A 27,673-nucleotide genomic window follows, 5' to 3' on the forward strand; every position below is an offset into this window, starting at 1 on the left:
GGGGGTCAGGAAAGAAGGGCTTTGTGGTTCAGGGGCAGCCCTCTGTCAGCCCTGTCAGGCATGGGCAGAGGGGGACCTGCACTTGAAGCAAAATGGGAGGAATGGAGCAGATTCTCTTATGCTTATGTAAAGCTGCAAGAATTAATTAGCCTGGTTTTTCACTTTCTTAAAGAGAGCTCCTTCTGGGCCCCATGAAGGATGCACCTGCAGGTGCAGAGGTGGATGCAGGGAGGCTAGGGAGGAGGCGTGGAGGTAATTAAGAAGAGTCTGAGGGTCTGAGCTGAGTAAGCTGGCTGGGGCTCATGATCCAGGGAGGGGCTGTTATGGAGGTGGAATTTACAGGACTTGCTCCTGGTTGGAGGAAGGGCATTGGGGGACTCTTTGGTGTTTGGCTTGTCTACCTGCCACTGAGGTAGGGAGCTGGGGGGATGCTCTGAGTGTGAGGTGCCTGGAGACCATGGGTGGGGAGGGGGAAGACAGGTGGTCTGGCCACCCTTGGAACTAATAGGTTTGGAGCTCAGGATGGAGATTTCCACTGGAGAACTAGGGCTGGAGTCAGGGAATTTACAGTTAGAGAGCTTGGTGCTGTTACACAGTCACTGGGTCACCCTGCAGATATATTGCCCGGGGCTGAGGGAACCTTGGAAACTGCAAAGGTGCACCCCTTCTCATTCCAATCCCTTCATGGATCTGGGACAGCTTGTGATTTGAATTTCAAAATTAACCTGGAGAAAGCAGTTCATGGCAATTATTCTGTAAGAGAGAAAAGAAGGGAGCAGGGTGGGGAGAGATGAATAGAGAAAGATGAGCTGAAATAATTGCCTGGAATTTTTGTCATTTCTGAAACTAAGGAGGCCCTGCAGTCATTGTAAAGGGCCACAGACTTGAAATATTTTCATCAGGGTTATGTGAGAAAATGGGAAAATGCAGAGAAAAAAACCCTCCTTTCTTAATCTGAGAGCAAGGGGTTCTCTAAAACTGATTTTGCTATGGATGGTGCTGGTGCTGTGGTGGGTGTTTGCGTCATGGGATCCTGGTGCTGTGGAAGGTGCTGGTGATGTTGGGGGTGCTGGTTTCCTGGTGATCCTGGTGCTGTGGAAGGTGCTGGTGCTATATAGGGTTCTGGTGTCACGGTGATCCTGGTGCTATGGAAGGTGCTGGTGCTATGGAGGGTGCTGGTGTCATAGTGATTCTGGTGCTATGGAAGGTGCTGGTGCTGTGGAAGGTGCTGGTGTCATGGGAATCCTGGTGCTATGGAAGGTGCTGGTGCTGTGGAAGGTGCTGGTGTCATGGGAATCCTGGTGCTATGGAAGGTGCTGGTGCTGTGGAAGGTGCTGGTGTCATGGGAATCCTGGTGCTATGGAAGGTGCTGGTGCTGTGGAAGGTGCTGGTGTCGTGGGAATCCTGGTGCTATGGAAGGTGCTGGTGCTGTGGAAGGTGCTGGTGTCATGGGGATCCTGGTGCTGTGGAAGGTGCTAGTACTATGGAGGGTGCTGGTGTCTTGGTGATCCTGGTGCTATGGAGAGTGCTGGTGTCATGGTGATCCTGGTGCTATGGAGGGTGCTGGTGCTGTGGAAGGTGTTGGTGCTATGGAGGTGATCCTGGTGCTGTGGAGGGTGCTGATGTCACGGTGACCCTGGTGCTGTGGAGGGTGCTGGTGTGATGGTGATCTTGCTGCTGTGGAGGGTGCTTGTATCATGGTGATCCTGGTGCTATGGAGGCAGCTGGTGCCAAGGAGAGTGCTGGTGCTCTAAAGGTTACTGGTGCTCTGAAGGTTGTTGGTGCTATGGAAGATGCTGGTGCTGAGGAGGGTACTGAGGCTCTGGAAGGTGCTTATGCACCTAGCTATGCTGCCAGGCCTGGTTGTTTCCAGGTTCGTCTGTGAGTTGGAGCTGAGTTTGGATTTGGAAGTCATTGGTGCTAAGCTGTGGAGAGGCACAGCTGTCCTCCAGGGAGATACCTGGGCTTGAGACTAGGCTCGCCTAGGCATCTTAGATCTTGGCTTTGCCATATCTTAGCTTCATGACCTTGGGAAAAATCTCTCCACTCCCAAGTTCCCAACTTTTCATTAATAAAACCAGACAATAATAATGAATAGTCTGTCTTTGGTGCACGCTAGGGGCTTAATAAATTATCATTTTCTTTCTTTCCTATTTATATCCTTTTTCTTCCTCTTGTGTTCTTAGCTTCCTGTCTAATTAGCTGGATTTTGTTTGTTGGTTGGGCTCTGGGCCTCTCTTTGCAGGCTTTTCTCCCTGGGAATGTGACTGGGAGAACCTGGAGGAACATTTCAAGGGGTAGCCAGTTCATTGTCAGGATTCATGGGTGGTCTCTGGCTTCCCACAGTGATTCCTGGAGGCACGTGTTTGCTTGTTGGTAAAGGTAGGCCATTTTTTTTTTTTTTTTTTTTTGAGACAAGGTCTTACTTTGTCACCAAGACTGGAGTGCACTAGCATGATCATGGCTCACTGCAGCCTTGACCTCCCAGGCTCAAGTGATCCTCCCACCTTAGCCTCCCAAAGAGCTGGGACTACAGGCACAAGCCACCATGCTCGGCTAATTTAAAAAGGTTTTTCTTTTTTTGGTAGAGATAGGGTCTCACTTTGTTGCTCAGGCTGGTTTGAACTCCTGGCTTCAAGCGATCCTCCTGCCTCGGCCTCCCAAAGTTCTGGGATTACAGGTGTGAGCCATCATGCCCCGTCTGGTCATTTTTTTCGTGGGCTATTTTTTAGTACTTCAGTTATAAGACAAATAATAATAATGTCTTAAATATGCTTTTACATCTACTTTTCAGCCTAACAACAATCTTGGGAAGTAGGTACTTTTATTATCCCCATTTTACAGGTGAGGAAACTAATGCTTAGAGAAGTGAGGTGATTTTCCCAAGGTCACTTAGCCAGGAAATGTCAGAACAAAGCAAGAACCCAGCTTCATGGCTCCATATCCCATTCTCTCTGCCACAACTTGATGTCACCCTGCCATTGTCCTGGCCAAGCTGTGACCTTCCTGCCTTCTTTCCTTCCTTCTTGGTCTCCCTCCCTTTTCTTCTTTGTCGTTATTAATATTGGTTCTGGTCTGGGCTCAATGCCTGTTGCTGGGAGATACAAAAATGGATAAAACAAAACCTCTGCCCTGAAGGAGCTAACAAATGTGTGGATCAGATGAGAAACATTCTGTGCAGCTTCTCAGCTGTGCTCTTCCTGGAGTCAGCAACTCTGGGACCCCTTCCTGATCCTCTAGCTGGATTTGGGGCCTCCTCTGGGCTCTGTAGGGTCATGAGGCCTCCTTTCCCACTGTCCTCTGCCTGGCCTATCCCGCACCTGCAGCCCCCTCTAGCTTCTGATCCCTGGAGGGCAGGGAGGTGTCTGGTGCATCTCTGTGTTCCCAGTTCCCAGCACTGGCCTGGCATGGAGCAGGCTTTGGGTGTGTTGCATTGTGGGCCCTGTCTCTTGGGATGGTCTCAGGAGCATCCCTGACCCCACACCCTGATCCAGCATTCAGAGAATCTGCCTCATTAGGCTCTGGCCAGGGCCAGCTCAGACTGGAGGGTGTGTAGGCACTTGGGAAGGATCCTGGGAATGCCTGCAGTCCAGACCTAGAGCACATCCAGTGGGGAGAAGCTGCAGTGGGAGGGACACCTTAGCCCAAAGGGACCAGAGCTCACCATTCTCTCATTAAAATGAGGTGGGACCAAGAACTGGAAATGAGAGGGTCAGTCCTTTTTAAACAACCAGTGGCTCATGCCTGTTATCCTAGCACTTCGGGAAGCCAAGGTGGGTGGATCACGAGGTCAGGAGACGGAGACCATCCTGGCCAACATGGTGAAACACCGTCTCTACTAAAATACAAAAATTAGCCTGGTGTGGTGGCACGCACCTATAGGTCCCAGCTACTTGGGAGGCTGAGGCAGGGGAATTGCTTGAACCCGAGAGGTGCGGCTTGCAGTGAGCTGAGATCGCACCACTGCACTCCAGCCTGACGACAGAGCAAGACTCAGTAACAACAACAGCAACAACAGAAGAACCAGTGTCAGTGGGCTATTATTAAACAAACAGCAACAAGTAAAACAAAAATAAAACCCCAGTTGCAGTTTCAGGCTAACATTAGAAGGTGTGGATTTTTGCTGTTTCATCCGCTCACCGATCCATTCCACTCTTTGGGCTCCTGCCTGTGACTAGCACTTTATGTGCACTACCCCGCTGAATGGTCCCAGCACGTCAGGCTGGCGGGATTGTTACCCCACTTGCATATGAGGAACACAGGCTCAGAGAGGCAGAGCGAGCCATCTGAGGTCCACACCCTGGAGGCTGTGCAGCTGGGCCACCTGCCCGGGTAGACAGGGTCAGGGAAGGTTGCTCAAATGGAAGGGGATCCCCGGCTACACAGGAATGGCTCCTAAGGATGCTGCTGAGCTCACTTACCTGCCAGTGGCTCCTTCTCCTTTCCTTTTATAATCTAGGGCCAAGAAATGGGGGCCTTGGCTCCCTGTCTCAAGCCTCAACCCTGCTCACGTTCCCTCCAACACTAACAGGAGAAGAAGCAGGGAGAAACACAGAAACCAGCCTCCTCAGTGCTGGCCGCTGCACCTAGCAGCCATAGAGCCAGGCCCCTCTCCCTCTGGAAGTCTCTAGTGACTGTCCTTTCTTCTCTGTTCTCACTCCAACACTCTGGTTCAACCCACATCACCACCTGTCCCAGCCCTCTCCCTGATCCCTGGCCCCTTTCCTCAGCAGCCCCAGTCCTTTCTCCTCCCCTTCTAGAGCACATGCCCCACAGTGGCATTTCTGTGCCTCCATTGCTTACCTGCCTCTCCCATAGGTGCATCCACCTCCCAGAAGCAGTGGCCCTTCCCTCATGATCCTGTCCATTGGATGTCTCCCTGCCTTTGTCTGTGTCATCCTTCCTAGCTGGATTGTCTTTCCTGCCTGCCATGGGGCCATCTCCCTATTCATCCCTCAACACCAAATGCACATGGCCTGGGCCTGTGCAGTGTTGCTTGCACTGACATGCAAAGCCTGTCCTTTCTCCTTTGGGTTCCTGCATGTCCTATAGGACCCTCCATTCTAGTACCAATTAAACAGAGTTGGCATCAGTGAGTTACCTACTAGGTCTCCTGCTGACTGGACCAGGAGCTCTTGTACCCTTCTCTGTACCCTAAGAAGCTAGCCAGCACCTGGCCGGATGAAGCAGTAAAAAATGCCCTTAATAAATGAATAAGGCTGGGTGTGGTGGCTCACACCTGTAATCCTAGCACTTTGGAAGGCCAAGGTGGGAGGATTGCTTGAACCCAGGAGTTTGAGACCAGCCTGGGCAACATGGCAAAACCCCATCTCTACAAAAAATGCAAAAAATTAACTGGATGTGGTTATGCATGCCTGTGGTCCCAGCTGCTCAGGAGGCTGAGGCAGGAGGATCATCTGAGCCTGGGAGGTTGAGGCTGCAGTGAGCCGGATTGTGCCACTGCACTCCAACCTGGGTAACAGAGTGAGATCCTGTCTCAAATGAATGAATGAATGAATGAATGCATAAGGAGGTGAATGAGCAAACAAAAAAAATCCGTATGGCTGACCAAGAAACTCCACATCGATCACATCAACAGCTCTGGTTGCCTCATTTCCAGTATCTTTATATAAAATCAGGGCCCTATCTTTTCTTCTGAACTCTTGCTGATAACACATCCTCATAACTCTCTTCCTGATGCCACATTCTTAAGAAGTTAGACAACATTTCTAGCTTCACCATTTGCTTCTACCAATTTTTCATCAAAACTCCAGGGCCTTCATTCCATGGGATTCTAATATTTGCTGACAGCAGCAAATGGAGATAAGCGATTTTACTTTATTATCTGTTGTCTTGGTTTTTATTGCTCTCTCTTTCTTTTAAATTTTGAGGAACATTTTTAGGCAAGTTATTAAAAACACTGCCTGCTGGGTTAGGAGCAGAGTCATTATTTGGCATGGAAAGAATTTGCACATGAGGACTTGGTGGAGAAAGGCTGCCAGAGTGTTTCATGTTTATTATTTCACTTCTGGCCAGGGTTTTATTGAAAATCAGACTGAAGATGCTGGCCTATGTTTTTGTCCAGGTGCTTTCGCCTGGCTTTGTGAGTGTACTATTAGAATGACCTTCAAAAATGTATGCTGTTATTAATTGATAGTTGCAAAGCAATCGTGGCTTAATTTTTTAACGAAACATTCCTCTGAGACAGAAAACACACATTGTGCTGCCTTAGGAGGAATGTGCATAGGGTTTGATGAGAGACGGGGTGATTCAATGACCACCCCATCGCAAAAGGATGGGCTTTTATTACCGGCTTTACATTCTCATTGATCCAAACAAACATTGTTAAGTAAATGCTGCAATAAAGCAAGTCACTTGTTAATAAACATAGTGTAGAAGAAGACTTCTAGGGTATAGTGAGCACTCTTGTTTCCTATGGGACTCCTGCAGGGGTGGGCTGGAGTAACTCACACCCACTCCTGAGAGCTGATTCTTCCAAGTTTGCAAGCCAGTTGTGAAACTGTTGGAAGCTTGAAATCAATCATGGTGGGAGTGTTTACACCATGGAAATCAGCAAAGGCTACAAATCTCCTCCTCTCCCCCCAAGAGCTGGTCTCTCAGCACACCACTGTGGAAAGGCGATATGGAAGAAACACATGGGTTAGGGGTTTGATCCCATGGGTTTGTGAACTGGAACATGTCATTTCAGCTCTCTGAACCTGCGTTTCCCAATCTGCAAAATGGGTGGCGAAGGCTCCATCATAGACCTAGTGTGAGGCCTAAGTGAGGCAATGTAAGCTAACACAGTTGTTCCACTGTGGCTCGATAAACGTGAGCTTCCTCTTGTAGCTGCATGGTAGTTTTATTTCTGGGGAGGGAGGTCTCTTGCTAGATGGATGCTGCCACCTAGCTTGGGTCTCCAGTGGGAAGCTACGCCTGGTACCTGTGGGCCTCCATCCCAGGTGACGCTGCCGTAGCTCAGTTGCTCCTCTTGGCTTACCCTTTCCACTGTGCCAGCTCCCAGCTCTCCATCTCTGTCCCACCCCTTCACGCAATATGAGAAAAACCAGATTACGTCATCAGATCACTCTCCTGCTTGAGAAATCTGCGATATCTCCCTGCTTCCTAGGGGCTGCAGTGTGATGTCCTTAGTACGGCACTGCAGGCTCTTCCAAAGGTGGGCCTTGCTGCTGATTCCTGTCCCTCTGCCACTGCCTTCCTACACTCCCAGTGTTCTGGGGCTCTCATAGCACTGCAAAACTGCCATGCCTTTTCATACTTCCAGCATTGCCCATGCAGTGTCCTCTGCCTCCATTGCCATCCATGTTTTCTGCTTGGAGACCCCGCTTAGAGCTCATCTCCCCTGGAACTGGTCCTTGACTCCCCACTTTCATACCTGGAAGTCCTAGGTTCCTAGCATTACAACTTTTCCTTCTCTTCCTGCACCTCACTGCTGAGATGGCACATCGGCTTTCCTAGAGTTCTGCTACCTAGCTGGATTGCTGAAGGTGCCACTGAAAAGAGGGCTTCCTAAAGGTTTCTCAAATCCTTGGTTGGAGTAATAAAAGGAAGATACAGAAAGTAAAACAACATTTTAAAAATAATTATTTGCAGTAATAAATAATAACAGCTTTATTTTATTAAACTTCTATTATGTGCCAGATAGCCTGTGAGTCATTTCCCATTTTATCTTTATTGTAACTCATGAAATAGGCATATTTTTAATATACGGATGAGAAAGCTGGGGATCAGCATGATTAATTAAGCCACTCGGGGTCATACAGCCAATAAGGGGGCAGAGTCGGGGTTTTCTGACCCAGAGCGGTATGTGCACCGATGTGTGGTTATGTGTATGTGTGTGCATGCATACACGTATATTCTTTTATCTATACCATCTTCCAAATTGGGAAACCCTGCACATTTGGGGAATTGGCTAAATTAAGCTAAACTGAAATGTGGTTGCAAGAATACTAAAACTTTGCTGCAGATCCCTGTTATTTGCCGAGTGTTAGGTTAATTTTGCGTTGGCTCTCTCGTCCTCTTTTTTCTCTTTAAATACACTGTTTGGCCGAGTCCTGAAATGTGTTGATCCAAAAGGGAAAAAGAGAAGCGACAATTTCCCAAGAAAGAGATGCCGTTTTCCCCAGGGTCTGTCATGCCACCTGCTCCGCAATCCCAGTCACAAGGTGGGAGAGCTCATCTCCTGGCTTCCTCGCTCTCTGGGCCTTTGCTCCTGCAATGCATGATTATATTAAATGTGATTCTTAAAAAATTGATGATGTTTAAGCTCCTGGAACTGTCAGAAGAAGGCCCTAATAAGATGACTGTATGTGCAGCTTTTCATGTTGCCAGTAGGTTCTATAATTATAAGAAAATGAGTTGTTATAGCAACTGCCATGTAGGCCTCGCTTCCTCCTGGGGATGCTGAGCGCTCAGCTCTGTGATCCAAGTAACTGGGAGGGAATTTGGTTCTTTAAGGGGTTTCAACCCTCACTTGGGTGATCATCATTCATTCATTCTAATTCTTGACAACCTGAACCCAGTTTTACTTTGCAATCTGACAGACCTGGTTTGAATGTTAGTTCTATAACTCACTGGACTGTGTGACCTTGGGCAAGTCACCTCACCTCCATCAGCCTCAGTTTTTACTTCTGTAAAATGGGGATGCCAGTGCCCACCAATTGAGAGAGCCATTGTGATGATGGTGCTTGGGATGTGGCTAGCACAGCGCCCGGCATGCAGTAGCCCCTAAAATAGACGGGACACATTCCCCTTAACTTCTTTCACTGGGAGCAAATGAAAAATGAAAATGCTACAAGTAGGGAGGGTAGGTGTTTTCATAGTCTTTAAAAAAGTATTGTCATTAATTTGGGTAGCATTTGTGGCTTGAAAACCAGGCTACTGAACAGAAATTCCAGGCTGAATCATGTACAAGATATGAGACAGGGAAAAAAAGAGAGACGAAGAGAGAGAGAAAAAAAGCTAAATATAAATGAATATTTAGCTAATGAAACTGACTTGAATGAAAACTCCAACTTTACTTTATATTGCATTTCTCTGAGGCTAAGAAAAAAAAATTTCTAATTTCTAAAAGAATCTCCAAACTGAGTCAAGAAACCTGGTTTCTGGTCTCAATCTTTGGGCCTCAGTTTTCCCATCTGTAAAATGAGGTAGTTGGGTGAGTTCATCCCCAAGAGGCCTGGAACAATCGTTCTCAGTCAGAGGTGATTTTGTTTCTCAGAGGACACTTGGCAATATCTGGAGACAGTTTTGGTTGTCACAGCTGGGGGTAGGGATGCTATTGGTCTCTAGTGGGTAGAGGCCAGAGATGCAGCTAAACACCCTATGATACATAGGACAGCTCCTTACAACAAAGCATTTTCCAGCCCCAAATGCTGAGAAACCTTGCTCTAGGATTTACCAGCATGTTCGCTGGGTCTAAAACCAGAAATCAAACCATAGTCACGCCACCAAGGATAAGTCAGATTTGTTCAGTATTTCAGTGTCTTATCCTAGCAATCTCCCAGAGATTTGAAGCCTTAGAAAAATTAGAAAAGGTAAAGACAAAAAGACTTCTCAAGGTTGTAGGAAGCTCAATAAAAAAATGAGATGGCCACAGGAAGTGCGATACTGCACAACCCTAAACAGACCCAATATGATTGTTTTGTGCACAAAGCAAAATGTACTTGATGCAATTTTAGGTCTATAAATAGCTTTATTTTTTTTGTATAAAGGAGGATAAAAATAAATCTTGCAGATATTTCAACTGCCCTTCTCATTTCCAGCTCCTCTCTTCGGTTTTGACATGTCAAGCCACAGTCAGAGTGTGTCTCTTCTGAAACTCACAGGCAATCACTTCCTTTCCCTGCTTCAAACCATTCTGGGGCTTCTCTTGATCATTAGGGTAAAATCTGAACTCCTTCACCTGCTATATACTTGGTCTCTCGAGCCTGTCTCTTGCTCATCTCTTCAGTCTCCTCCGAACAAGCTAAATTACCTGTCGAATTCTCGACACACTGGACCCGATTTCATCTCTACTCCTCCGCTTAGCTGTTCTTTCTACTCCGAATGCTTTTCTCTTCCCACAGTCTGGTGGCCACCTATTCATCTCATAAAACTGGCTGGGACATCACCTCCTTTCCTAGTAGCTGCACCTCTCTTCCTCATTTTCAGAAAGGACTGACCATTTCCTTTCTGGGACTTTAATCACTGGGCAGAATTGGTCATCTTTCCCTCCTTCATGCAGTTATTTCCTTTCCTGCGTTTTTCTGGTGCTATGAAAGCCTGGGCTCTTGCGGACAGAAACTGCCCTGATTCAGTTTTATAGCCCCGTATGCCTATACATTCTGGGGCCTTGAATACAGTAGGTGGTCAGTAACCTTTGTTTTAAAATAAGAATAACATACAAATGCACAACATTCTAACAGTACAGAAAGGCATTCACTGAGAAATTAAAGTCTCCCTTTCCCTCCTTCATAGTTCTCACAAAAAATATCTGTTGTCTACATCTGTGCTGTCCAAATTGGAAGCCCCTAGCCACCTGTGGCTATATACATTTAAATTGGTCAAAACAAAATACAATTTAAAGTTTAATTTCTATCACACTAGCCACATTTCAAGTACTTAGTAGCCATGTGAGCCTAGTGACTACCATATGGGACAGCTCAAATTTAGAGAACATTTCCATCATTGCAGAAAGTTCTGTTAGTCCAGGAGCAGCTTCCTATGTTCCTATGATCTCATCCAGGGACATTTCCTAAAGGTCTTATATGTACAGTACACGCACACACACCACACACACACACACACAGACACACACACACACACTTAAACTTGATTTCCTCATTCATCTTTTCAAATGTAACCATTGTATACACATTCTCTTGTACCTTGCTTCTTTCTCTTAATAATATATCTCAGAGATCTTTCCACATCAGCACATTGAGATCCTTTTTCTTCCTGTTAATGGTTGTAGACAGAGGATGTTTCATCATCTTTCTCAATTAGTCCACGATTGTTCTAGCTTTCAGCCTTCTGCTGCTGAAATCAAGCTGCAGTGAACCTCCTTCCAGTGAACTACATGCACTACTACAGTTTGAATGTTTGTGTTTTCCCACAAATTCCGATGTTGAAATGCTAACCCCCAAGTTCATATTAGTTATTAGGAGGTGGGGCCTTTGGGAAGTGATTAGGTCACGGGGGTGGAGCTCTCATGAATGGGCTTAGTGTCTTTATAACAGAGGCCCCAAGAAGCTTGATCTACCCTTCCACCATGTGAGGACACAGATAGAAGGCACCATCTATGAACCAGAAAGTGGGCCCATCCCAGATACCAAATCTCCTGGTGCCTTCATCTTAGGTCTCTCAACTTTCAGAACTGTGAGAAATAAATGTCTGTTGTTTCTAAGCTATCCAGTCTATGGTATTTTCTTATAACAGCCCAAATGGACTAAGACACACGCACACACACACATGCACACGCACACCCCTTTCATATGTTCTGCAAGTGTAAGTGGAGGGCATGAGAGTCTTCAATCTTAAAAACCTTGCCAGAGGGTATATACACCTTCCCTTTTAATTAATAAATTTTGCCAAATTACCTTCCAAATATGTTCCACCAGTCTATACTCCCCCAACAGTGCCTAAGCGTGAGCTGCTCCTCCCCGTGTGCTGGCACCAGGTTTTAACCAACTCTAAGTCCTACCCATCTGATAGGTAGGAAATGGCCCTTCCTCTTGAAGTCTGCATGTCTTTCTCTCTCTTTCTCTCTCTCTCTCTCTTTTTTTTTTTTTAGATGGAGTCTTGCTCTGTCGCCCAGGCTGGAGTACAGTGGTGCAATCTCAGCTCACTGCAACCTCTGCCTCCCGGGCTCAAGCGATTCTCCTGCCTCAGCTTCCTGAGTAGCTGGGAATGCAGACGCCTGCCACCCCACCTAGCTAATTTTTGTATTTTTAGTAGAGACGGGGTTTCACCATGTTGGCCAGGCTGGTCTCGAACTCCTGACCTTGTGATCAGCCTGCCTCAACCTCCCAAAGTGCTGGGATTACAGGCGTGAGCCACCATGCCTGGCCATGCACATCTTTCATTATCAGTGAGTTTGAGCTTCTTTTTGGGTTCTTATTGCCTGTTTGATCATTGGTTCTTTTCTGGAAAAATTCTTATCTGGCTGGACCATTTGTTCCTTCCTCCTGATTTGTGTTGCTACCTCCCAAAGCTACAGACTTAGTTTTTCTCCCTTGTTTGTTATTTCCTCAGTCGTCCTTTGCCTTTTGGTTTTGTTTATGGTGTAACTGCTTTTTTCATTCTACAATATTTCTAACTTTTGCTTTAACTCAAATTAATCATGGACTCCACAAGGCATGAGGGAAAATATTGATACATTTGACTTTAAAAATTAAGGCCATCTCCCACCCTAAATTTATGTTTTCTTCTGGTGCTTTTATGATTGTGTTTTATATGTTACAATTTTGATTCATTTGGAATTTGTCTCTGTGTGAAGAGCAAGCTGGGAATCCAAGTTTATTTGTTTTTGAATGGCAGTTTGTCAGGTGTTCTAAGATCATTTATTAATCTTTTCCCTCTCTGACTTGACATACAACCTTTAAAAAAGCTACTGCATTTCCATATGGGTTTCAGTCTACTTCTGTTCTCTCTTTTCTTCTATTGAACTGACTGTTTTTTGTTATTGTATACCAAATTCTTTCAGTTACAGCTTTGTTACACATCTTTATATCTGTGTAAATTATTCTTCTCTCATTCCTTTCACTCCTTACCCATTCTTGCATTTCACTTTTGCAGGTAAATATATATATTTATATATGTTATATATATATAAAATGTTATATATAACCCTATATATAAATTAACCTTATTATATATAACCATATGTATGTGGATATTTTACTACTGTTACTGTTTACTTGGATTACATAAATTTATAGATTTCAATTTGAGGAGATGCTACGTCTTTAAAATATTGAGATTTTCTTTCTTTCCCTCTTTCTTTCTTTCCCTCTTTCTTTCTTTCCCTCTTTCTTTCTTTCTCTCTCTCTCTCTCTCTCTCTCTTTCTTTTCTTTCTTTTCTTTCTTTTCTTTCTTGACAGAGTCTGTTCTGTCGTCCAGGCTGGGGTACAGTGGTGTGATCTTGGCTCACTGCAACCTCCACCTCCCGGGTTCAAGTGATGGTTGTGCCTCAGCCTCCTGAGTAGCTGGGATTACAGGCACGTGCCACTACACCTGGCTAATTTTTGTATTTTTTAGTAAAGATGGGGTTTTACCATATTGGCCAGGCTGGTCTTAAATTCCTGATCTCAGGTGATCCGCCCGCCTTGGTCTCCCAAAGTGCTAGGATTACAGATGTGAGCCACCACGCCTGGCGTAAAATATTGAGATTTTCTATCTAGAAGCAAGATTGCATCTGTTGAAGACTTTCATCACTTTCAGTTGAGCTGTAAGATCATTTTTGCAGTTCTTGTTAAATTTATTCCAAAGTATTTTACCTGTTTTTTTTTTGTTGTTGATATTGTACAAGGAATCTTTTCTTTTGTTGTTTTTTAACTGGGTATTATTTATACTTAATAAAAATGCTTTTGAATTTTGTATATTTATTTGCCTCCAGTTACCAACTTCTCTTATTATTTCTAATAATTTCTTTAAAATTTTGATTCTTTATGTTTATAAGGAATATACAATTGTTCCATCTGCCTGTAATTCTAATATTGCTCCTCTTTTTCTGATATTTAGTTTTCTTATGTTATTTCCTGTTTGCAATTTTTAGACTCCTGATGTCATTTTCCTGTCTAATTGCAGTGGTCAGTACTTTCAGATTTGCTATTTCTAGTGTTTTAGCATTTACATTTTGATGTTTTTTTCCCCCCCAAATACCCTTTCTGCATTTACGGACATGGTGATATGGTTTGTCTTCTTTGACTTGGCATTATGATAAATTATACTAATATATTTTCAGATATTAAGCCATTCTTACATGTCCTCATTTGGTCATGGTGTACCATGGAGTTCTGTTTGCTAATACATTACTGTATTTAAAATTTTTGCTTTATTAATATTGTGAGGTTGTGTTGAGATTTACTTTTTGTGCTGTCTTCATCAGGTCTGGTATTAATGTCATTCTGCCTCTGTAAAAAGAATGTACGAGCATTTTTTTAAAAAGAATGTGCAGGCAGATCATGAGGTCAGGAGATCAAGACCATCCTGGCTAACAAGGTGAAACCCCATCTCTACTAAAAATACAAAAAATTAGCCAGATGTGGTGGTGGGCACCTGTAGTCCCAGTTACTTGGGAGGCTGAGGCAGGAGAATGGCATGAACCCGGGAGGCAGAGCTTGCAGTGAGCCAAGATGGCACCACTGCACTCCAGCCTGAGCAGCAGTGAGACTCCGACTCAAAAAAAAAAAAAAAAAAAAAGAGAGAGAATGTACATGCATTTTTCTTTCTCCATGTCCTGGAAAATTTGACAGTAGAGAAATAATCTGTTTCTTTATATATTTTTTAAAAACAGAATTAACCCACAAAATCATCTTAGCATTTGGAAGGATGTGGGTAGTTTTCAGTAAATATGTGAAGAATTAACGTACAAATAAATTTCATTTGTACCCGACCACCTGTCTGAAGCTTTGAAAGATTACATTTAGAAATGCACCCATTGCCATTCTCTTAATTGTAACTCCCTTCAGCAATTTTTTCGAGTGGCCCCATTCAGTCAATAAGTGTTTACACAGTAGCTTCCATGTCCGGAGCCTTGGGGTAGATGGTATGGATGATTCATGGAAGTACAAGACGTGGCTTACAATTTAATGTTCCCAGGGTGCGGACATACAGCTGAAGCTTCTGTTTATGTGAATTTGATTCTAAAGCAATATCATTTATCATTGAATATTAATGGAGCAGTATTTGCAGATTACCCTTTAGGCTTACATTAGTCATCCTTGGATTTAGAGTTCAGTAGCTCAGTCCAGGCTGCACACACTGAGCCAGCACATGGTCTTTCCTTCTTGCATCAGAGTCTGGCTTCCCTCCCTGTTGCAGGTCTGCAGAGTAGAGCATGTTGATTGCTCTGTGGGGTGTGGCTCTGCCACTGGCTCCCTGTGTGACTCACTTCTCTTCCATGAATTTGGGTCTTTCACCTGTGAGATGGAGACACCGATCTTACTTTGTCATACTTAGATAGTATATGTAAAGCATCAAAACACAGTTGGCACCCAGAAAATCTACATTTACCTCCTCGTTTTGGTATCTCCCAAAATAGCTAGCTGAGTACTGGGCTATGAAGTACTATGGGGTATGGGACAGTTGTTCAAGTCTAGATTATTTTTAGAGCCCTTGACTGGTCTTCCTGCTTCCAAAATCCACTCCTTCCAGTCAATTTCCATCCAAGCTGCCAAAGTGATTTTAAAAACGCCAATGGAACCATGTCCATGAATGCCGGATATGACAGACCCACTGGCTCTCTAGTGCCCCCAGTAAACTCTTCAGTCTGAACCTTATGCTCCTTCCTCAGGCTTCCTCTGCTTACCATCCAAGACTTGTCTTTCACTGTCATGGGCCACTCCAACGTCCACACCCTGGGGCAGGCTGTTCTCTCCACCTGGATCCCCCTTTTACTCTCTCCTTCCAGGCTGGCCCAGGAGCCCCACTCCCCAGTGCCATCTCCATCACATCGCTTCTCACCTTGCCTTCTATGAGTCTTTCCTGAGAGCCGACACCACGTATACGTCATCCCTGACTCCCATGTGCCTGGCCCAGGGCCAGCGAAGGGCTAGGCATTCAGCTTGTATCTATTGTCCAGTGAACAATTAGGCTTTGGCTTGCATGGTAAAATATGAATGACATTTTCTCCATTTTAGTTCTCTGGGGATCCCTGGGGGAAATTGTTCTTTATAACAGAAATGAGGCCAGGAAAATCAATTGTGTTTCTCGGCTGCAGGAGATGATGGAACAGCGTAACTTTCCTGAATATCCCAGGGCACAGCACTATAACAGAGTGGCAAGAGGTGGACTGTGCTGGAGGCCCCTTTCATTCTTACGTGCATTTCAAGCCAAGCTCAGGCGAGAACTCACCATTCAGCTGCCCACTGCTCATGAAATTCAGGAGCTGGCGTGCTTGCAAAGCTTCCTTGCAAAGCTCCTTTTTTCTTTTTAGGTCATAATGAGCTGGTTGGGCAGCTGCTTGGTTGCCAATGACTTTATAGTTAAACACCCACACTCCAAGACTCTGCCTTCAGTAAATGGAGGGAGAACAAAAGACCGCAAGAAAGACAGGAGAATGAACATTGATACAGCATCTTCTGGGTTCTAGGCACAGTGACTGCTGCATTTGTCTACTTCCTTGACCTGCATAAGTGCCCTGTGATGGGGACATTATTGTAATCACTCCCTTTGTACAGAAGATAGAGAATGAGAGAGAAGTGACTTGTCCAAGGCCACATGCGTTAGATAGGGGCCATTTGTGTGTCTTCTGAGCAATCAGTTTGCTTTTATCTTCTGGACTCTATGAATATTATCGCCGACCCATTTCCTATCATTGGTCAGGTTTCTGGAAAACCTTGAGCTATATGTCTTGCCCGCCTGCTGCAAGTAGGGACACTGTTAACATACCTGCCTCCAACTTATGGCCATCCTTTTTCCTTCCATTTCCTCCATTACTATTTTTCTCATCTATAAAATGGGAATAACAGTAATTATACTGATCACAATATTGTTGTGGAGAAACCAAGCAAAGTGCTCAGGGCAGAATTGGGCACAGTGTGAACACTCAACGTGGAGCCTGTCAGTTGCCAGAAGTCATTTCTGGAAAAAGAGGAAAGTGTAATAAAGATAAGATGAGCGAAACAAGTTAGGTGGCATTTTATACTTAGCATAGGTTTATCAAGCACCTACTGCAACCAAGTCCTGGCCAGATGCAGGGGCTATAGAGATGAGTCCTCAGGGCCTCGGGCCTCAAGGAGCAAGCGGTTCAGTCAAAACCCAGGTCTGCCACAGGTGAATGTCAAACTGGCTTTCTCAGCTGGCCTGATGCGAGTTCCTTCCACGGAGCCTGTAGTGAAGAGCATTCCATGCTCTCTGCATCTCCTGTCCTGCTTTATTTTCTGTGTCCAGGAAGCAGCCCAGATCTGAAGCTCACCTCCAGCCATGTGGTTTGTCCATAGCCCCTCAAAGAAGAGCTTTGCATAAAGGAAGACACCCCTGGGCTGACGCCCCACCCTCGGTTGTGAGGCCCCATTCATCCTGCCAGGGCTACGGGGTCACAGTTGAATAAGCACACAAACAGGGGACCCAATTTGCAGCTGCGGCAGGCAGATCGGCTGAGGGAAGATAATTTCATTAGGTTCCAGGCTCTTGCTCTAATGCTCTGTGGCGATGTCTCTGTGGCCTTGCAGGCTGGCTGTGCGTGCACTCCTGTGTCTACTGGATAATTTTCTTGTCTTTGTACAGTCAGAATGGTGGATAAGGATGTGCACGTCCATCTTTTTTGGAGCCAGGAAGAGTGGGTGAAATGCAAGAGTCTGATTTCTGCTCTGATCAAACCATGGGAAAGTTAATTAAGGCTGTGACTCACCAGACCATCTTGATGAAATTAAGCAGTGCAGCCAGGCCTCTGGCTATTTTAGTGGCAGGAAGTCAAATGGTTGGCTCTGTTGGTGACTCCATAAGTGTATATTTAAATAATAATGACAGTAATAATATCCAACATTTATGGGAGCTTTACATCCAGCATCTTTGGAAGTCCACCCAATGTACCTAGTAGGTAGGTGTTATGATTCAGATAAGGAGATGCAGATAAGGAGACTGAGGCTCAGAGAGGTGGCGTCGTGTACTGAAGGTAACACAGCCAGGAAATTGTGGAGCAGAGATTAAATCCTAGTTTGATGGTAAGGCCTATTCTCCTTTTCCCACCTCACACTGGTTCTCTTTCAGGTTCCTGCATCCCAGTCTCTGAACAGCCAAAACTAAACTGCTATATCATCTGTATCCTGAACGCTTGCTAGCCCTTCATTTTCTTAATAGCAAATTAAAATTATCATCATGGCAGCAGTAAATAAGCTTCATGACCTCACTGCTCCAAGCCCATTTGCCTGCATTTTGGGACAAATTTGTAGCTACAATCATTGCCTGTGGAAACAGCAAGACTGTGCGATGACATCTTAATTTCCCGAGTTTCACTTTGTACAAAATGACCCTGGTGAGACTTGTGAGGGTTTTCTTGTTTGGATCATTTTTCCCAAACGCTAGTGATTGACAAGTTTGCGGATGAAAGCTCCACATCCCAGGCCAGAGGAAGGCCTAGGTGTATTGAGCAAATGTCAGAAAGAAGAGACTCCACCTGACCTGGCTGTGCGAGGCTAGGAAGTCCTTTCACCTTGCCACAGTCAGATGGGGATTAATGACATCTTCGTCAAACCGTTGTTGTTATTTTGGACTTAAACTAAAGCAATGCACGCAAAGCCCAGCTCCTGGCTTACAGGGATGCTCAATGAATATTAGGTCCTTCTCCTCTACATTCTCAAATCCCTCCTTTGTGGTAGATGGTGGCCTGTACATATTTGGAGATTTTTTGTGGACACATGTTTCAGACCCGTTTAACCCCCTGCCCTGCCCTGTCAAGTACCTGGCCACAGGAGCCCATGGTGCCAGCTGGAAGCCAGCTCCTGGCTCAGCCCCAGACAAGTCACACTCCTGGCCTCACCCTGGGCCTTGTTGAACAGATTGGGGTGATTGCTGGCTAACTGACCCCGGGCCAATCACTTTCTGGAAACTTATTTCCTCTAAAATAGGGATAAAAAGCCCAACCAGACAGGGTTGTTGAAAGGCTTAATGCAAGTAACAAAAGAAAGTAATGAAAGCACCATCCCCAAGTTAAAAACTGGGAAACTTCATGTAATTTCATGATCTCTACCTTTCTTGAAAAATCAGATCAGCCATGTTAGAATCTCATTCCCGTCCTTGACAACGATTGTCTGGAGCTGTGCAGCTGCTGTCCCCTGTCAATGAGGCAGGTTCCCTCTAGGTCCCGAGCATGCCACAGCAGCCTTCTTCACTCATTGGTGGTGTGTGCCTGCTCCCTGCTTGCACAGAGAAGGTCACCAGGCCAGGTTGGCTCCTTTCCTCTCAACAGGTCGGTGAGATCTAGGTAAACAGGTTTCCATCTATGACACACTTGCTTTTGCTTTGTTGCCTTATAAAGGCACAACCTTGTGAGTTAAGGCCTCAGCTTCTCCATCCTGTAAGAGGTTCACTGTCAAAGGTCTTAGTATTCTCTGGCCCATGTTGAGTGATGACTTGAACTTTTAAAATGAAAAACATTTCGGGAGCCCAGAGATTTATCTCCTACATCGGCAGGGCCCTCGGACCCTCGCTCTTCTTCCTAACGATTATACCACAGCACATTAATTTGGGAAATGAATTACTGCTTTGGAATGTTCCAGTTCAAACTGTGCTTTTTCTCTTTCAAGGATTCCACAAATATTAATGAGTTTCTGGCTCTACACCCAGGAATCACACTTCTACACCCCTCCTTCTTCCCATGGGGAGCTTTCCTCTCTGGGTTCTGAAAGAGATTCCTGAATTATTGCTCATATAAAGTTTGAGGCCATAGATGTTTCATTTTCCTTTTACTTTCAAAAGGCAATTTACTTAGTGAGATTCATTGGGGCCCTAGAGAATGGGCTTCTTTAATGGGTTTTGGGGGGCTTCCATGGGGAGCTGACCAAACATTATGATAATGCAATCTTTTTGGTTTGCGGATGGAGAGAACCGGTGTATTCCATGCTGCAACAATCATACAGCCACTCCAGAGGCTGTGGAGTGAGTAGAAGGTGCACATGGCCTTTATGGTCACACCTGAATTCAAATCCTGGCTACTCCATTCATTAATTGAGTTTCCTTATAGGCAGGTGACTTAACTACTCCGTGTTTCATTTTCTTCATGTATAAAACAGGAAAAATGACAGGCTCTACCTTATAGAGTTGGTTTTAAAAATTATTAGCAAGAAATGAGGCTGAGCATTGTGGCTCATGCTTGTAATCCCAGCACTTTGGGAGGCTGAGGTAGGAGGGTTACTTGAAGCCAAGAGTTTGAGACCAGCCTGGGAAACACAGTGAGACTCCATCTCTACAAAAAAATAATAAAAAAAAAATAGCTGGGCATAGTGGTGCACCCCTGCAAGTCCTCCTACTTGCAGGAGGCTGAGGTGGGAGGATCGCTTGTGCCTGGGAGGCTGAGGCTGCAGTGAGCCAAGATCGCACCACTGCACTCCAGACTGGGTAACAGAGGGAGACCCTGTGTCAAAAAAAAAAAAAATTGTTAACAAGAAATGAAGTTAAAATAACTACATCATGTTTTATAAATTCTAATATGCATCTTAAGCCTTTCCAGTGAAATCATCTTGGATATGAGAGCACAGCCCACAGACAAAGCCAACTCCTTCTCTAGGGATTGACCCTAGAGAATTGAGGTCTCTAATTCTGTCTAATTGAGGGATTAGACAGAACAATGGGCAGTAAACAGGCCCTCCACAGATGTTACCTCCCATACCTGTCTTGCCATTTTAGGGTTGTCATTTCTATCCAAGAGAGGATCTTTACAGGAATTCTTCTGATATATTGACTTAGATGCCATTTACTGAACACATACTGTTTCAGACCGAAGCCAGACAGGTGAGCTCCATAATCTCATTCCACCTTTCGGCGTTTTGGGGTGTGAGAGAACATTCTAGTTCCTGTTTTATGAATGAAGAAACTGAGGCTTAGAGATATCACAAAAGTTGTTCAAAGTCGCACAGGTGGTAATAGTGGGAGAAGCTGCAGGCGGAGAGTCCGTCTGTCCCCAGAGGCTATACTGGCTCCAGACCAGCTCTGGCCAGTAATGAAGGCTGTCTTCAGCCTCATTCCAGTATTTCACAACACCCCAAGGAAACGATTCCTTTTCTTCTGATTAGGCCAAATAGACCAACAGAAACATCATGATCACCCTGGTTATCTCCTATTCTCAGATATGTGCATGAGTCTGATAAATCCAAAACAGGAGAATGAATTCATTCGTATTGAATAAATGCAGTCTGTTTGGCATGAAAAAAACTCATTTGAAACATGGGAACTATGGGACAGGGAGAGGAACAAGACTTTAGATCCTAAGGCATGTTCCTTCTCCCAGATCCTTGGTCTCTGGGCACCTGCTCTATGCCAGGCGCTGGGCTTGGCATTTCCACACAATGATTTCATTTCCTCCTTACATCCGTGCTTCAAGGTGGCTATTAGGATTCTCGTTTCCAGATAAGACAGCTGAGCCCAGGAAATGTAATAAGAGACCCAGAAAGTGATGGGTGGGAATCTCAGCAAGGGTGTTTCTGGCTTCAGGACAAAGCTGAGGTCAAGACCTGGTTTTTCTCTTTATCAGGACAGAACAGATGGATGCAAAGGTGAAGTCACAGTGAAACATACTTCCTGGCCTGGGAACATGTGGGCTTTGAGGGCAGACTTGGCTTCTAGGTATTATTTAAAGGTGAAATTGGTAAGCCCCTTGAAGGGGCTGAGTGGATGTGGAATCAGCCATGACCCCCATCTGCATACCGATACTGACAGGGATCAGAAAGGGGCTTTGGGTTCTGGAATCCCACCACTCTTGCCTTCTAAGGCTCACTGACAAGGAGGTCTGTCTATAAGGACTAGCCCCAAATGGCAAAGAACTGCTGTATTCACCTGGCAAGCATCCCTAACTCCGAGGGGCAGCACCTCCAGTAAGCAAAGCTGGGGTTGAGGCTCAGGGTGGGGTCCTCAATGAATTTACAGATTCCTGTCCTGTTGTGCCCACCTTCGCCCCAAAGAGGGATCTCATCCTGCAGTGCAAGGAGGCAGTCCAAAGTGTACGCCGCCACCAGAGGGAAACCCATGAGGTGGAAGGTAGGAGAGGGTGTATTTTTTTTTCCATGTCTAGTGTCAGGCTCACTGAAAGATAGCTGAAGTCAGGATGCCACAGGGAAGGAGAGGAAGAGCGTCTTACTCTTCCTGCACAGAGGAGCCTGGCCCAAAAAAGATACCCCAGGCTTCTCCGTGCAGGAAGAATAAGATCCCTACCCTCATCCTGACCCACGAGGAAAGAAGGAAAGGAAGAGTTTGTGGGGATTTTGTTGTTTGCATGTTTGAGACAGTTCTTGCTTGATTTGTTGCCCAGGCTGGGGTGCACGACTCACTGTAGCCTCAAACTCCCTGGGCTCAAGTGATCCTCCCAGCTCAGCCTCCTGAGTAGCTGGGACTACAGGTGTACACTACCACCTCCGGCTAGTTTTTACTTTTTTCTTTTTTGTAGAGATGGGATTTTGCTATGTTGCCCAGGCTGGTCTTGAACTCCTGGCCTCAAGTAATACTCCTGCCTCGACCTCCCAAAGTGCTGGGATTATAGGCATGAGCCACCACACCCAGCCAGGATGAGATGTTAGTGGGGCCTGGGCTCTGGGAGGCAGGAAGAGAAAGGCAAAGGGCTGGAACCTGGTGCCTGCCTTTTAAGGCACAGGGTCCCCAGTAAAGCATAGCTCGTTACAAGTTTGACTCTGAAAAATAAGATATGGAATGCCTTCTCCTGCCTTCACATTGGGCACAGGGGCAGCTGTGTTGACGGTCCCCAAGACCATCCCCAGGTTCAATAATTCACCAGGAGGACTCACAGCACTCAGCATATGGCTGTATGCATGGCTGTGATCTCTTACAGCAAAGGGATACGCAGCAAAATCAGCAAAAGAAAAGAAAAAAAGAGCATGAGGCAACGTCGAGGGGAAACCAGGCACAACCTTCCAAGAATCGTCTCCCAGTGGAGTCATGGAGGATGCGCTTCATTCCCGCAGCAGTTTCAGAGGCGCGTGGGCAACGTCCGCCAGGGAAGCTTGTTAGAGACTGTCTCCAGGGTTTTCACTGGGGGCTGGTCACATAGGCACTGTTTGCTTAGCACCCACCCAAGTTTCAGACTCCAGGTGTTCAACATAAGCCATATTGTAAGTACAAGTTAGGCAGGGTGAGCCACTCCTATCAGTTCTGGGGATGGTGGGAACATTCTTAAAATCCAGCTTCCCAGACACCAGCCAAGGGGCCAGTCTTGCATGCAGACCTTTCCAGGGGTACCAATCTCAGGCTGGCTGTGTGAACTGTTTTGTGTGAAAACGCCCTCCAAGACTCCTCCCAGGTAAGGTGTGTCTGTGTGTATTTGTTCAGGGCAGTGGGGTGGGGAGGTAGAAGACAGGGTAGAGATTCCTTCCTCCTCATGGACAAGGTAGCAAATTGAGCACGGGGGCAGAAATGCCGTCTTCCCCAACATGGCTGACTTATGTCCAGAGGAGATACTGCTGGGTGTGCTAGACTGTGGTATTAGCAGAATTATTCTTATCCTTGCAAGAATTACAGGGAGACATGGAGTAGTTTATCTGGCAGGGGAACCCCCACTGGAATGCCTAGCAGTGCCACACATTGAAATTTGGGAATGATATTTAATTTTCCAAACCAACTTTGCTGATCTGATTCTTTCTTTTCTTCTTCCTTCCCCTTCTTCTTCCTTTTTTTTTTTTTTTTTTTTCCATCAACTTTTCTGCCAAGAAAGGGGATTAAGGAATGGAAGTAGCTTAATGGAACAAGCTATTTGGGCTGCCGGGCTCATGTCTCCATGGAGATGGTAATGCAGGCTGTGTCTAGACAGACGGTTGGCGGGGATGCAGTGAGACAGTTGTGCGCCTCTGACTGGAGCCGAGATCTGCACGGATGGCCCTCTGGGCTGAGGGGGATAGTCTGGCCCTGCTATGGGGCCTGTCTCTTGGGGTTGGATGGAGCAACTAGATGTGAGTTCTTCTTCCGAGTTCACCTGTGTGCCCTTTGTGCAGGCCCAGGCCAAGAGCTGGGCAGGCGGCCACCGAGGCACAGGCCCTACTCTTGAGGAGCTCATGGACTGCTAGGGCAGGCTGATGTGTTACGTGGCTGTGATAGCACATGTGATGTGTGGCTGCAGCTGGAACTGATGGCCTTGGGAGCCTGGGGGGATGGGGGGCTTGCTCAAAGGGGAAGTCTGGGAAGGCTTCCTGGTGTGTGTGTGGAGCACCCTCTAAGTGGGAGGCCGTGGGAGGCATGCCAGTAGCAGACAGCCTAGAACTTTCAGGAACTAGGACTGGTGTGTGTGTGTGTGTGTGTGTGTGTGTGTGTGTGTGTGTGTCTGGGGCAGGAACAATTAGTGAAGTGGGACAGGTAAGCAGGGACCAGATGATGGAAATAGCACAGTGCCAAGGAAATAATACGTGTTTTGGATCCAGGCAAACCTGGCTTCTAGGTCTTGCTTTACTACTAATTGGCTGGATAATCCATTATTTAATCCACAATTTACCCAACATCTGCAAGCCTCAGTTTTGCCATCTGAAAACCAGGAATATCAACAGTCCTCACTTTATGGAATCCTGGGTAGGACTTAGTGAGATGATACTTGTCAAGTGCTGAGTAGCTGATGATTTAAGGATGTGAGTTTCTTGCCCTCCTTTATTCAGAAGCCAGACAAAGGATTTTGAACATTGTCTTGTTCCAATGACAGTCTCCAGGCTACTTGCATTCAAACCTCCTGGATTTGTGTGGAAAATGCTGATTTCTGGGTGTTATCATAGAACAGGGGGATCAGAATCTATGTGTACTCAGGACTCTGCATCTTACCATTCTCTTTAGATGGTTCTGATGCTTAGTCAAGTCATAGACCTGCTGTGCCAGGAGATGGGAAGTCAGGGGGAGGGCTTTCAGCCCCACCATGCAATGTTCAGAAGAGTAATTTAAGAAGATAGCTTTGGTGGCCAATAGGGAGAATAGTTAGGGTCGGGGATGCAGGAGGGGTCAGAGAGGAAATGATCCCTGTCAAAGGTGCTTTTCTGCCCCATTAATATGAATCATCAGCAAAACCCTTAAAGGGTGGGGCCCTTGGGCCCTGGGGAAGGTCAAACACAGAGGGTATGGCCCTGCCCTTGAGGGGCTGTCAGTTGGTTGGGGAGGACGGATCACAGATGTAATACAGTGTAATACCCAGGCAACACAGAGTAATACCCAGTGGCTTCGTGCTGAGGCGATAGTCGAACCAAATTCATAAATCCTGCATAATTACAAAAATAACAACAATGACAACAAGAAGCATTAATTTGTCACTTTAGCATTTACATGACTCTCTTTCCTTTTGCATTAATCATCTTGCTTGTACCTCATGATAGTTTTTCGTACATTAGCGCACTGATTTAGAGCCATTGTGTAGGTGGTGGGGTCAAGGCTTGTCTTGATTCTGAGGTGGCCCAGACTCGGCACGTGAGGATGCTCTATGTGACTATACAAAGTTGGAGGGGCCACAGTGTGTAAAATGGGATGGAACAGAAGGAATCAAGATTTAAGCTGGGATCCATGTAGATGGGAACAAGAAGCAAGCCTGTAAAAACATATGGGGGATTGATGGCAGGATTGTAATAAGTGTTTTTCCTTTTGGATTTTCAATATTGTTCTTATAATAATGGTGCAATATATTTTTAATAAAAATGAACTGTAATGTTATTGTAGGTTTATAGGCAGTCTAACATATGGTTAACCAGCTGGGCTTCTGAGTGAGACAGGTCTGAGTTATAATCCTCACCCTGCCCCTCACATATGTAAGGTCTTTCCATCTATCTCTGATACAACATTGTACAATGGGCACACTGATAGCACCTACTTCATGGAGTTGCAGGGCCATGAAGTATTGAAATGTATGTAAGCATTCCATGTATGCTAATTAACTAAAGGCATTCCCGGGAAAGGCTGAGCATCTACTAGGATAGGCTAGGCCTATCCTGAGGGCTTTTATGCACTACCACGCCCCGCCATCCAACAGCTATTGTGAAGCAGCCATCAGTGTCACCTACCTTTCAGAGAAGTAAGCTGAGGATTCCAAAGGGTAAGCAACTTTCCCAGGTTCATTGGTGAGCAGGTGGCGAGCTGTGCTTTCAGTCTAGACCTTCTGGCTTCGAAGGCTCTGCTTCATTCACTACTTGGTACTAGGGGAAGGGCTAAAAAGAACCCAGGTGTCATCTGGGCAGAATTTACAGAGGTTGCAACCCCTTTGAACTTTCTGCTCAAGCCCTATTGTCAGGATCTTTGGGGCTCAGCCAGGAACAAGGTGCCGGGAGGCCTAATTCTGTCTCTGGAGGTTCCAGCTGCCACATACAGAAGGCAAATGTCTGTTTGGCCGCCCTGTTTTTATTTCCCCACAAAGTTTAATTTCCCTGATGTGAGTGGTTCTATTGCTTTGAAGTTTCCAGGGTTTGCATTCTTCATAAAAAAGACTGGTTTATGGTGCACTGTGGTGCTAAGATGTGGCAGTACCTGAGTGTTAATGAAGTTCATGTTTCCTGACATGATGAGGGTCCTAGATCAGCATCCTGGCTTGACAGTGGAAGGGTTTTTGGTTTTCTCCACTGTCTTCCTAATTCCTGAGGTTTCTACCTGGGTGGTGACATATCTTCCTAGAATAAGTTTACAGTATGCATCGTGCATGGTATCTTGCTTCGTTGCACTATTACAAGCAAATGTAGCTGCAGGACAGGAAAATATGTATCACAACGCCAATTAAGGTATGGTTAGGGTTGAGGGCTTTAGAATGAGATACTCTAGAGTTCTAAGCAGGCTGTACTCCTTCAGGAACCATGTGGCCTCAGACAAGTTACTAAACCTCTCTGTGCTTCAGTTTCTACAGCTATAAAATGGGGGTAATAATTCAGCTTCCAGGGCTATCATGAGGTTTAAAGGAGATCACACATAAAAATCACTCGCCAAATGCCTTGCTCATTATTGAATAGTCAATAAGTGATTGTTATTATCAGGTAAGCCCATAGGCTGGGCCAGTAATACCAGGCAATTTATAGGCACCATCTCATTTAATCTTCACAGCAATCCTATGGGGTGGGATTGATTTTTCTGGTCCCCATTTAACAGATGAAGAAAAAGGGGCTCAGAGAGATGAAGCATCTTACCCAAGGTCACACAGCTCATCAGAAGCAGAAGCGAGATTGACTCCTGTCACGATGTGGCCATAGTTACCTCAGAGAACTGCCTAAATACTTTCCAGAATGCAGGGTCCAGCTCTCCCAGCTGTGAGAGAGAAGCTTCTCATCTTTGAGGGGCACAGCAGGCAGACAAAGAGGCCACTTCAGGGTCAACTAAGGATTCTTCCAGCATCAGACAAACTATACTTCAGATGACCATATGCAGTGATTTCATCCAACTGGGTTCTTCCCTTCAGTCACTCTGCCAAGCTGTAGAACAGTTAAGACGGGTCCTGAAAACTCACTGCAGCCAGTGCTTTGTACCAAAAGTGAGGATAAGGTGTGGGCTAGGGAATGAATTAGCCTCTCCCCTATCCCATGCCAGGTCATGAGTTGGAAGTTGGGAATAAGATTTGGTCCCTGTCCACATGACACACGCAATGAACAATTGTGATCCAGTGGGCTGAGTGCTAAGTGGTAGATGGATGCACAAAGTGTAATGAGAGCAAAACTAGGCAAAGGAAGGCTTCTCAGAGGAGGTGACATGGTGAGTTGGGCTTTGAAGCATGACTAGGAGTTCACCAAGGGGAGAGTGGCTGAAAAGATATGCAAGAGCAGTTCATACGGCAGTCTTCCTGAGTGGTTGG

General features: G+C 45.7%; 1 protein-coding gene and 1 long non-coding RNA gene across 4 annotated transcripts in view, besides 2 other annotated features; one reads left to right on the forward strand and one right to left on the reverse strand.

The window, feature by feature from the left end:
• The window catches only part of NSG2 (neuronal vesicle trafficking associated 2), a 63,474-nt gene that overhangs the window by 21,779 nt on the left and 14,022 nt on the right, over window positions 1-27,673 (forward strand). The gene's annotated exons all lie outside the window — the stretch shown is intronic.
• LOC102724551 (uncharacterized) lies at window positions 14,791-18,996 on the reverse strand. Of its 3 annotated transcripts, NR_188239.1 has the most exons (3): window positions 18,914-18,996; window positions 16,615-16,806; window positions 14,791-15,143 (listed from the first exon to the last, which is right to left on the reverse strand). It is a non-coding gene; the product is annotated as an uncharacterized LOC102724551 (long non-coding RNA). The 3 variants fall into 3 exon arrangements; NR_188240.1 differs by lacking the exon at window positions 16,615-16,806; NR_188241.1 differs by lacking the exon at window positions 18,914-18,996 and having other exon boundaries at window positions 15,688-17,066.
• Window positions 23,388-23,889: an enhancer, noted in NCBI's record as "H3K4me1 hESC enhancer chr5:173517875-173518376 (GRCh37/hg19 assembly coordinates)". NCBI's record gives its function as "activates a minimal SCP1, AML or CMV promoter by ChIP-STARR-seq in primed H9 embryonic stem cells {active_cell/tissue: H9 hESC(primed)}" and the evidence as "EXISTENCE:reporter gene assay evidence [ECO:0000049][PMID:30033119]".
• Window positions 23,890-24,389: an enhancer, noted in NCBI's record as "H3K4me1 hESC enhancer chr5:173518377-173518876 (GRCh37/hg19 assembly coordinates)". NCBI's record gives its function as "activates a minimal SCP1, AML or CMV promoter by ChIP-STARR-seq in primed H9 embryonic stem cells {active_cell/tissue: H9 hESC(primed)}" and the evidence as "EXISTENCE:reporter gene assay evidence [ECO:0000049][PMID:30033119]".

Source organism: Homo sapiens, chromosome 5 (genome assembly GCF_000001405.40).
Source record: "Homo sapiens chromosome 5, GRCh38.p14 Primary Assembly".
NCBI lineage: Eukaryota > Metazoa > Chordata > Mammalia > Primates > Hominidae > Homo > Homo sapiens.